The 11,062-nt window shown below is 46.8% G+C and overlaps 1 annotated feature.

The window, feature by feature from the left end:
* Positions 9,078-9,712: an enhancer, noted in NCBI's record as "H3K4me1 hESC enhancer chr22:23758527-23759161 (GRCh37/hg19 assembly coordinates)". NCBI's record gives its function as "activates a minimal SCP1, AML or CMV promoter by ChIP-STARR-seq in naive and primed H9 embryonic stem cells {active_cell/tissue: H9 hESC(naive and primed)}" and the evidence as "EXISTENCE:reporter gene assay evidence [ECO:0000049][PMID:30033119]".

Here is an 11,062-nt window from a genome sequence, read left to right on the forward strand (position 1 = left end):
ACAAGCGTTGGTGAGGATGTGGAGAAGTCAGAACCCTTCTTCATTGTTGGTGGGGCTGTATGATGGTACAGCAGCTGTGGAAAACAGTATGATGGTTCCTCACAATATTAAAAATTGAATTGCTGTATGCTTCAGCAACTCCACTTCTGGGTATATACCTGTGAACCCAAAATATCTGAGACAGGTCTCAGTTTATTAATAGAAAGTTCATTTTGCCAAGTTTAAGGACACACCTGTGACACAGCTTCAGGTGGTCCTGATGACATGTGCCCAAGGTGGTTGGGGCTCAGCTCGCTTTTATACATTTTAGGGAGACATGAGACATCAATCAATATGTGTAAGATGTACATTGGTTCAGTCTGGAAAGGTGGAACAACTTGAAGAGGCAGGGTCTTCCAGGTCATAGGTAGATAAGAGACAAACGGTTGTATTCTTCTGAGTCTTTTATCAACCTTTTACTGAATACACAATTTGGTCTGGCTCAGTGAATTTGCATTTTTGCATAAACAATAGGCAGAGAGAGGAAGCAATCCAATATGCATCTGTCTCAGGTGAGCAGAGGGATGACTTTCTGTCCTACATATTTGAAGATCATCTATCAGTTTATATTGCCAGGGTGAAATTCAACAGAACTGTTTTAGGGTAAAGATCTTGAGGCCCACGAGGAATTCCCTTGTAGGCAAATTGTGAGGGAGGTATGTAGCTGTTTTGTTTTGTTTGAGATGGAGTTTCACTCTTTTTGCCCAGGTTGGAGTGCAATGGCGCGATCTCAGCTCACTGCAACCTCCGCCTCCCAGGTTCAAGTGATTCTCCTGCCTCAGTCTCCCGAGTAGCTGGAATGACAGGTGCATGCCATCATGCCCGGCTAATTTTGTATTTTTAGTAGAGACGAGGTTTCATCATGTTAGCCACGCTGGTCTTGAACTCCTGACCTCAGGCGATCTGCCCACCCCAGCCTCCCAAAGTGCTGGGATTATAGGCGTGAGCCACCACGCCCAGCCGCTGTTTTTAATCTTTGTAGCTATCTTATTTAGGAATAAAATGGGAGGCAGGTTTGCCTGACATAGTTCCCAGCTTGACTTTTCCTTTGGCTTAGTGATTTTTGGGTCCTTAGATTTATTTTCCTTTCACATACCCAAAAGAATTGAAAGCAGGTTCTCAAAGAGATATCTGTACATCCATCTTCATAGCAGCATTACTCACAATAGCTAAAATATGGAAACAAGCCAAGTGTTCATCCACAGATGAAAGGATACACAAAATGTGGTCTATGTATACAATGGACTGTTATTCAGCCTTAGAAAGGCAGGAAATTCTAACACATGCTGCTACATGGACGAACCTTAAGGACATTATGCTGAGTGAAAGCCACAGTATGATTCCACTCAAATGAGATACGCTGAGGAGTCTCAATCATTGACAGAAAGTAGAATGGTGGTTGCCAGGGCCTGGGGTGAGATGGGAATGGGGAATACTGTTCAGTAGGCACAAAGTTTCTGTTTCACAAGATGAAAAGGATTCCAGAGCTAGACAGCGGTGATGGCTGAGGTAGAAGGATCACTTGAGTCTGAGAGGTTGAGGCTGCAATGAGCTATGATCAAGCTACAGCACTACAGCCTGGGTGACAGAGCAAAATTCTGCCAAAAAAAAAAAAAAACCTTAACATCACTTGGCCAACCTTATTCAAGAGCCCAGTGTGTCTGGGCCCCTTCAGAGTTAAATTTCCGTGAAGTCAACATACAGCACCTTTCACCGTGGTCACTGGAGGTTCCCTCTTCATTTCTCCTACACTCTTTGCTCTCCCACCAGATCGTCCCAGAACTCCTCTCTCTCTCGCCACTGATGAACTGTTGTGGGAAAAACCTAATGGCCACTTTCCACTGCCCATCTTCCTGGACATCCTGGCAGCAGTCCGGGTGAGGGGCTCACCTGCGATTCTGAGGACCCTCTCCTCTCTGGATCCTGACATCAGAACGTGCTCCTCCCTCTCTGGATGCTCCTCCCCAGCAGCTTTTGCCAGCAGAGACTCCTCTGCCTCAGTTTACAATCTCCAGTGCAACACAGTTCAGTTATGGCCTTATTATTCTATCTCTACACTTAAAAACATAACCTCTGGGTGATGCAATCCATTTCCAAGGCATTAATTATTATCTCCATGCTTATAAGCCCAAGGTTTTATCTTCATTCAGAATTACATAGATATAGAATTGCTCTGTTGATTTTCTGGCTTGGTTGTTTCACAGACATTACATATTAAAAACAATCCAACCCCCAAATCTTCTTCTTCTTCTATTTGGCTGTGACCCAGACTGTCAATAAATTGCACCAGTGTTTTTTTTTAAATTCCTTTAGAGACAGGGTCTCCCTCTGTCACCCAGGCTGGAGTACAGTGGCATGATCATAGCTCACTGCAGCTTCAACCTCCTGGGCTCAAGCAATCCTCCCAGCTTGGCCTCCCAAAGTGCTGGGATTACAGGCATGAGCCACTGCCCCCGGCCTGTGCCCGTGTATGTTAATTTGTGTATTAGTCTAGGACTCTGGGAAAGTTTCCTCATCCTGTATGTCCCTATGTCCTAAACAACCTGTGGCCCAGTCCTGTTCATTCCTCCTCTAATATGGATCTCCAAACGCTCCTCTTTATTTCCACACCCACTCCCAGCCCTTAACCTCTTGGCCCTTGAAAGGCCTCTGAGGAGCTGTTCTTAGGTTTTGGCTTTGAGGAACAAGCCTGCTAAGGTCACTCGTGTCCAGAATTTTGTGTGAACATAAGTGTTGTCGGGTGAGGTCCTCCAGACATCCTTGAGTTGGACGACTCCCTAAAAGGACTCGAAGAACTTCATGAAGCCCAACTCCCTGAAGGACACCACCTGGCCCAGGGCCCCACCATAGATCAGGCCGTCAGCATAAACTGCCCACAGCCCCAGCTACGAAAAGACACTCTTATCAGGCGAGTATTTCAGTGGTTTCTGGGCTTCCTCCCTGGAGCCAGGCAAGGCCAGACATTCTCTTGGAATGAGCAGGTTCTGAGCATCCCAGACCAACTGCATTAATTCTCTGCCACACCGTACATGTTTATTTCTCTGGGGCAAATGCCCAGGGACTGAGTTGCCAGGTTGTTCCGTAGTGGCATGTTTTGCTGTTGGTGGTGGTATTTGCTGTATTGGGAGGGGGAATTGCCACACTCTTTTCCAGGGTGGCTGTACCACGTTACATTTACCCAGCAATGTGTGAGTTGCCCAGTTTCTCCCCATCCTCACCAGCTTGTGGTGCTGTTTCTACACTGTATTTAAGGCATGTTGATGGATGTGTCATGCTGCCTCACCATGATCTTCATGTGTATTAGTCTGCTTCGGCTGCCGTAACAAAATACCACAGGCTGGGCGACTTCAGCACCTTAAACCGTTTTCTCACCATTCTACAGGTTGGAAGTCCCAGATCAAGGTGTGGCAGCATCAGTTCCTGGCAAGGGCCCTTCCTGGTTTATAGATGGCCCCTGTCACTCTGTCCTCATGTGGACTTTCCTTGGTGTGTGTAGGTGGAGAGAATGGGAGCCAACTCCCTGGGGTCTCCTCTAACAAGGACACAAATCCTGTCTTATCAGGATCCCAATTTATGACCTCATTCAACCTTATTTCTTACTCCAAATTCAGCCACACGGGGTTAGGGCTTCTACGCATGAATCTGGGGGATATATACATTCGGTTCATAACAATACCTTGCCAGGAAATGGCGAACATCTTTTCATGTGCTTACTTGACATCTGTATATACTCTTGGTGAAATGCCTATTAGTGTCTTTTGTCTATTTTGTATTTGGGTTTTCAAAAAATGCTGTTGCATTTTGAGAGTTCTTGGCACATTCTGGATACTAGCACTTGGTTGGACCTGAAATTTGCAAATGCAAGCAGACTTCATCTTATTATGCTTTGCTTTATTGTACTTTGCTGTACAAATTGAAGGTCGTGGCAATCCTGCATCAAGGAAACCTACAGGAGCCATCATCCCAACAGCATGTGCTCACTTTGGGTCTCTGTGTCAAAATTTTGGTAATTCTCACAACATTTCAAACTTTTTCATTATTATGATATGTATTGTGATAATCTGTGATCTTTGACGTCACTATTGTCATTGTCATTGTTCTGGGGCACCATGAACTGCACTCATATAAGACTGTGAACTAATTGATAAATATTGTGTGTGCTCTGAAAGCTCCACCAACCAGCTGTTCCCTCAGGTCTCTCTCTCTCCTTGGGCCTCCCTATTCTCTGACACACAATATTGAAACCAGGCCAATCAATAACCCTACAGTGGCCTCTAAGTGTTCAAGTGAAAGGAAGAGTTGTGCATCCCTCACTTCAAATCCAAAACTAGAAATAATTAAGCTTAGCCAGCAAGGTATGTTGAAAGCTTAGATAGGCCAAAATCTAGGCCTTTTGCACTAAACAGCTAGCCAAGTCATGAATGCAAAGGAAAAGTTCTTGAAGGAAATGAAAAGTCCTACTCCAGTGAACACACAAATGGTAACAAAGTGAAACAGCTTATTTCTGATATGCAAAAAGTTTTGTTTTAGTGGTCTGGTTAGAAGATCAAACCAGCCACAACATTCCCTGAAGACAAAGCCTAATCCAGAACAAAGCATTAACTATCTTCAATTCTATGAAGGCTGAGAGAGGTGAGGAAGCTACAGAACTGTTTGAAGCTAGCAGAGGAGGTTGGCTCATGAGATGAAGGAAGGAAGCCATCTCCCTAACAGAAAAATGCAAGATGAAGCAGCAAGTGCTGAGGTAGAAGCTGCAGTAATTACCCAAAAGATCTAGCTGAGTTCACTGATGAAGGTGGTGACACTGAACAACAGATTTTCAATGTAGACAAAACAGCCTTTTATTGGAGGAAGATGCAATCTAGGACTTTCCTAGCTAGAGAAGGAAAGTCAATGCCTGGCTTCAAAGCTTCAAAGGACAGGCTGATTCTCTTGTTAGGGGTGAATGCAGCTGGTAACTTTAAATGGAAGCCAATTCTTATCCATCATTCCCAAAACTCTAGGGCCCTTAAGAATTGTGCCAGATCCACTCTGCCTGTGCTCTATAAATAATCAACAAAGCCTGGATGACAGCATATCTGTTTACAGCATGGTTTACTGTAAGCCCTCTCTGAGACCCACTGCTCAGAGAAAAGGATACCTTTCAAAAGATTACTGCTCACTGACAATGCACCTGGTCACCCAAGAGCTCTGCTGGAGATGTACAAGGAGACAAGTGTTGTTTTCATACCTGCTAACACAACATCCATTCTGCAGCCTGTGGAACAAAGACTTTCAAGCCTTGTTATTTAAAAAATACATTTCATAATGCTGTAGCTGCAATACATGGTGATTCCTCTGATGGATCTGGGCAAAGTAAATTGAAAACCTTCTCAAAATGATTCACCATTCTAGATGCCATTAAGAACATCTGTGATCAAATAGGATGAGGTCAAACTAGCCACATTAACAGGCATTTGGAAGAAGTGGATTCCAACCCTCATGGATGACTTTGAGGGGTTCGGGACTTAGTGGAGAAAGTCACTGCAGATGTGGGGGAAATAGCAAGAGAATTAGAATTAGAAGTGGAGCCTGGAGATGGAATTGAATTGCTGTGATTTCATGATCAAACTTGAACAGATGAGGAGTTGCTTCTTAGGGGTGAGCAAAGAAAGTGGTTTCCTGAGATAGAATCTACTCCTGGGGAAGATGCTGTGAACATTGTTGAAATGACAACAGAGGATTTAGAATAGTGCATACACTTAGTTAATAAAGCCGCACCAGGATCTGAGAGTACTGACTTCAATTTTGAAAGGAGTTCTCCTGTAGGTAAAATGCTATCAAACAGCATTACAAAGCTACAGATCAATCTTTTGTGAGAGTCAATCGATGTGGCAAACTTCATTATTGTCTTATTTTGAGAAACTGCCACAGCAACCCCCCCCACAACAACCCTTCAGCAACCGCCATCCTCATCAGCCAGCAGCCAATCAGCTTCACGGCATGACTCCACCAGCAAAAAGATCAAAAAGATTATGTAGGGGTCTCTAAAGGCTCAGATAATCCTTAGCATTTTTTAGCAAAGTTTTTTCTGTATCACAAGTCATTAAGCAAACCAATATTCTTGTTTTTTTTTTTTTTTTCTTTTTTTGAGACAGGATCTTGTGCTGTCACTCAAGCTGGAGTGCAGCGGCACAAACATGGTTCACTGCAGCGTCGACGTCTCAGGCTCAAGCGATCCTCCCATCTTATCTTCCCTAGTAGCTGGGTCTATGGACATGTACCACCACACCCAGCTAATTTTATTTCTTTTTGTGGACCACATTGCCAAGGCGGGTCTCGAACTCCTGAGCTCAAGACATCCACCTGCCCTGGCCTCCCTAAGTGCTGGCATTACAGGCATGAGCCACAACACCCCGCCCAAGAGAGTATTTTTAAATTAAGGAATGTGCATGGTTTTTAGACATAATGCTATTGCACACTTAATAGATTACACTGTAGTGTAAACATAACATGTATATGCACTGGGAAACAAAAACATTGTGTAACTGAGTTTACTTCCATATTTGCTTTGATTGTGGGAGTCTGGAACTGAACCCGCAATATCTCCCAGGAATGCCTGTCTTTTCTCCTGGTCTGTACTTTTTCATTTCATCCTCTTAAGCTAAGTGTTTCATGGAGCCTAGGTTTTAAATGTTGATGAATTCTGATGTATCCATATTTGTATGGGTCATGCTTTTGGTGTCAAGTCTCAAATCTCTACCTAGTTGTAGGGCTCCATTTTTTCTCTTGGAATTTCTCCCCTAAAGTTTTATAGTTTTATGTTTAACATGCAAGTGACCCATTTTCAGTTAATGTTTGTATGAGCGAGGTGAAGTGCATTTCATTGAACAGTTTGTCATCAACATTTACCTTATTTTAAAAAACCCACAAATTCATGGTATTTCATTGTTTGGATGCACTGGGACTTATTGAACTAGGCCCCTCTCAATGCCTATGGTTTCTTCTTCCTTTTTTGTTATTATAGTAAGTAATGCAACATCCATTTTGTTGTTTTGTGTGTGTGTTTTTGTGGAGATGGAGTCTCAGTATGTTGCCTAAAACTCCTGGCCTCAAGCGATCCTTCTGCCTCCTCCTAAAGCACTAGGGTTACAGGTGGGAGCCACCACACTTGCCTGAGAACGATATTCTCATCACAAATATATTTGCACAAATGCGCCCCCACACCTGTTTGTTGTCATTCGACTCGGTCATGCAGTAGGCAAAGATAAATTGTTTGAACTTTATGTGGTCAGGCTATTTCTTTGATGGCTTCTGGGCTTTGTTTTATGATTTAGAAAGACCTGCATTCTTTGGAGTGGAGGAATTAAATGGAATTAAAAGTGTCACATCCATGTTTCTGCAACGCCTTTTGTGGTCTGTTTTCCAGATCTACCACCGCTCGGAGCCCTGGAGCTGCTGGCGCAGCCCAAGGAGGTCCTGGAGGGGCACCCCGGCCTCCGCGCCCCTGGGAAAGGTCCCCACCCCTCTGGAGCTTGGGCCCTGCTGGTACAGACCGGGAGTCCCGAGGGGAGTCGGTCCCCTTCCTGGCAGCCGTCCCTGGTGAGGAACGGAAGTCGCAGGGACTGCATGTAAAAATGTCCCAAGTACCCCTTCTCCTGCTGGGTTGCACCGTGCCTGGCGGTGGCCGCTGGGAACTCCAAGGCTGACACCCGCTATGGGTGCTGGACGCCCTCCGTCGCCCCGGGCCGAGAACACCACCTGAGGTGGATCTCTTGTTCTCGTAGCTGGGACCACAGGCGAAGCCACCGCGCCGGCCTCTGCACCCATTTCTTGTGCAGTCCTCTGACCCCGTGAGGTGGTCAGGGAGGATGGCCCGGGCCTCCTGGTCCTGGTTAGCACAGCAGGGCACTGCCAGGCTGGCTCACTGTCCATGGCAGGAGGGTGCAAGATGCAAGGCGGCAGACGGGTGGCCCGTAGGTGGGAGGGGGAAGGCCCGTGGGCAGGGACTGGTCTGTGTAGCCCGGCTGGCTGTGCTCCACCTGCTCCAGCCACAGCCTGGAGCACCTGGGCCCAGGTTCCTCCCCAACGCAGGCAGCCTCGCCAAGGCCTCTGTGGACGTGCCCTCCCCACTGAACGCACAAGGTATCCTCTGCTCTCCCAAGTGAAGCGGGGTCAGGCCAGGATAGGAGGTGGACGGAAGAGCGCTTGGAAATACGGGGCCCTGTAGGCATCTTACTGCTCTTGACAGCCAGACCCTCTCTCTCCTCTTGCAGTAGGACTCGGCCCAGCACTCTCCAAATGCAGCCAGCCCCTCCGCCCCAGCCCAGCACCATCCCTCCCACTCCCCCGGACTGTATGCAAACACACTGGCACACAGCAGCTTCGGCCTCTTCAGCCAGCTGACCCAGAGAAGACCCGTCCACAGCACTGACCCACACCTCACTACTCCCTGACACCGTCCCAGACCACACCCTCCTCCAACCCAGTCACTCACTTGGTGAGCAAAGATGGCCTGCTTTGCCCCAGGTCCTGCTCAAAACGCTTAGGAATCCATCAGAGAACAAAACAAACAGGGTTTCTGACTTCATGAAGCTTCCATTTTTGTGGAAGAAGACGGACAACAGAAGCTGTATTTATTAAACACTTACATAACATAGCACTGACTCCATGGCAGGTGTTATGCTACGCATTTTATAAATACAAATTCATTTGATCCTCATGAAAATTCTGAGTTAGGTATTGTTCATATAAATAAGGAAACCAAGGCAAAGGGGTTAAACAATCCACCCAAAGCCACACGAGTAGCAAGTGGTGAAGCCACAACTCAACCCCAGGCAGCCTGGCTCCAGAGCCCAGGCCCTCCACCTCTCAGTAAGCATGAGTGAGCAACACAGCATGCTAGAGGGTGAGTGCCCCGGAAAAATGGAGAGTAAAGCAGAGTAAAGGGAATCCGGAGCACGGAGGGAAGGAGACACACTGACATTTTAAACTGGGAGGCATGAGGATTCCCAGAGGAGCTGACATCTGAGCAAAGGCATGCAATGCAAGGGTTGAGGGAGTCTGCATGCAATATTGCAGGAAAGAGTGTTTCAGGGAGGGGGAGTCTGTCCCACAGTCCTGAGGCAGGGTGTGCCTGGAGCATGGGAGGAAGGTCCGGCCAGGGAGGGGACAGCCCCTGCCTTTTGTGCAGCAGAATGCCCGAGCGTGCTGCGTGCCCAATTCCCTGCCTCCCTGGTGGGCCGTGCTGCTCTTTCAGTACTCACCTTGACTTCCAAAGTGAACAGTGAACTTAGAGAACAGAGCCCATGACCTCTACTCCCTCTGCTTGTCCCTGGTACTTTCAAGCTGATGTTTGCTGGATCTGTCTGCCTTGCCTTGTGGATTCCACAAAACTACAAGGTCCAGGAGGATGAGCAGGTCCTGCCAGGGAAGCTTCTGACACCTCTGTCACTGGTCCTCCTACACTAGTGGTGAGCAGTAGCCTCTGCCTGGGGCGGGGAAGCAGCAGTAAGTAAAGGGCACTTGTATTCTGTATTTTCAAAGCATGCCTGCCCAATTCTATATTCAAATTTTATTCCCAGTAGGACCCTTTAAACTGGCAGGCAGCCAATTCCACCCTACTTGACAAATGGCAAAACCACCCACCTCGGCCTCTCAAAGTGCTGGGATTACAGGCGTGAGCACCGTGCCCAGCCTCAAGAATGACTCTCAAGAGGTGAGTAAAGACCGGGCTGGGCGTGGTGGCTCATGCCTGTAATCCCAGCACTTTGAGAGGCCAAGGTAGGCAGATCACCTGAGGTCAGGAGTTCAAGACCAGCCTGGCCAAGATGGTGAAATTCTGTCTCTACTAAAAATACAAAAATTAGCCAGACATGGTGGCACACGCCTGTAGTCCCAGCTACTGGGGAGGCTAAGGCAAGAGAATTGCTTGAACCTGGGAGGCAGAGGTTGCAGTGAGACAAGATGGTGCCACTGCACTCAAACCTGGGCAACAGAGCGAGACTCTGTCTCAAAAAAAAAAAAAAAGAAAGAAAGAAAAGAAAAAGAAAAAAGAAAAAAAAAAGGTAAGTAATGACCGAACAGTACAGGGTCCCAATCCCATCTAAGTAGGCTTAAGGCAAAGACTGAGCATTTACTTAAGTCACAGAGAATTTAGCTAAACGCAGTGAGTCACCCACTTCACACAGAGAAAAATGCATCCCTCTACTCCTGTCTCATCACACGCAGAATGCCCAGATTTCTTTCCCATAGTTCCCCTTGAACTATGCAGGCTACTCATAAGGAATTAAGAAATATGCATCAGACACTTCCCTATTTCTAGTTTCAGTCTTCAAAGTAGCCAAAAGAAAATGCCTTTTTGTCCTACATCAGAAATGGTAGGACACCTCTTTCCTCCCATTTATTTCCAAAGTAGATTACACCAATTTAATTCCATTTTATTTTCCAGAATAAGCATACAAAAAAATCCATCCTGGAAGAACCATTTTCAACTGGGCGTGGTGGCTCACATCTGTAATTTCAATGCTTTGGGAGGCTGAGGCAGGAGAATCATTGAGACTAGGAGTTCGAGGCCAGCCTGGGCAACACAGAGAGACCCCATCTCTACTAAAAATAAAAGAAAAATTGGCCAGGCATAGGGGGGCAGCCACGGAGTCCAAACAGCTCCGCAGAATCTAAAACATTTACCTTCTGGCCTTTTACAGAAAAAAGTTTGCTGACTCCTCCCCAGCTGATCTTGCTTGACTCAGTTCTCCCACCTCCACAAGATTAACTGACCTAAAACTCGACTTCCACCGTCCCTCTGTGTTCAAACCCCCGACAGGTTCCCTGATGCCCATAAAGCCCACACTGTACCCTGACATCCATTCGACCAGGAGAATAAACAAGAAAAGCCCTCAAGGACATGCCTTTGCTCATGCTGTTCTCTGCCTGTCAGGAAGCCCTTCCTGCCTTCCACCGCTAAGCCTGCCGCTGCTTACCTTGCCCTTGCAGTCAGGGCAAGGCTCTGGGAATGCTCCCGGCTCCCTCTGCTCTGCTCCCA

The sequence above is a fragment of the Homo sapiens genome, chromosome 22, assembly GCF_000001405.40.
Source record: "Homo sapiens chromosome 22, GRCh38.p14 Primary Assembly".
NCBI classification, from domain to species: Eukaryota; Metazoa; Chordata; class Mammalia; order Primates; family Hominidae; genus Homo; species Homo sapiens.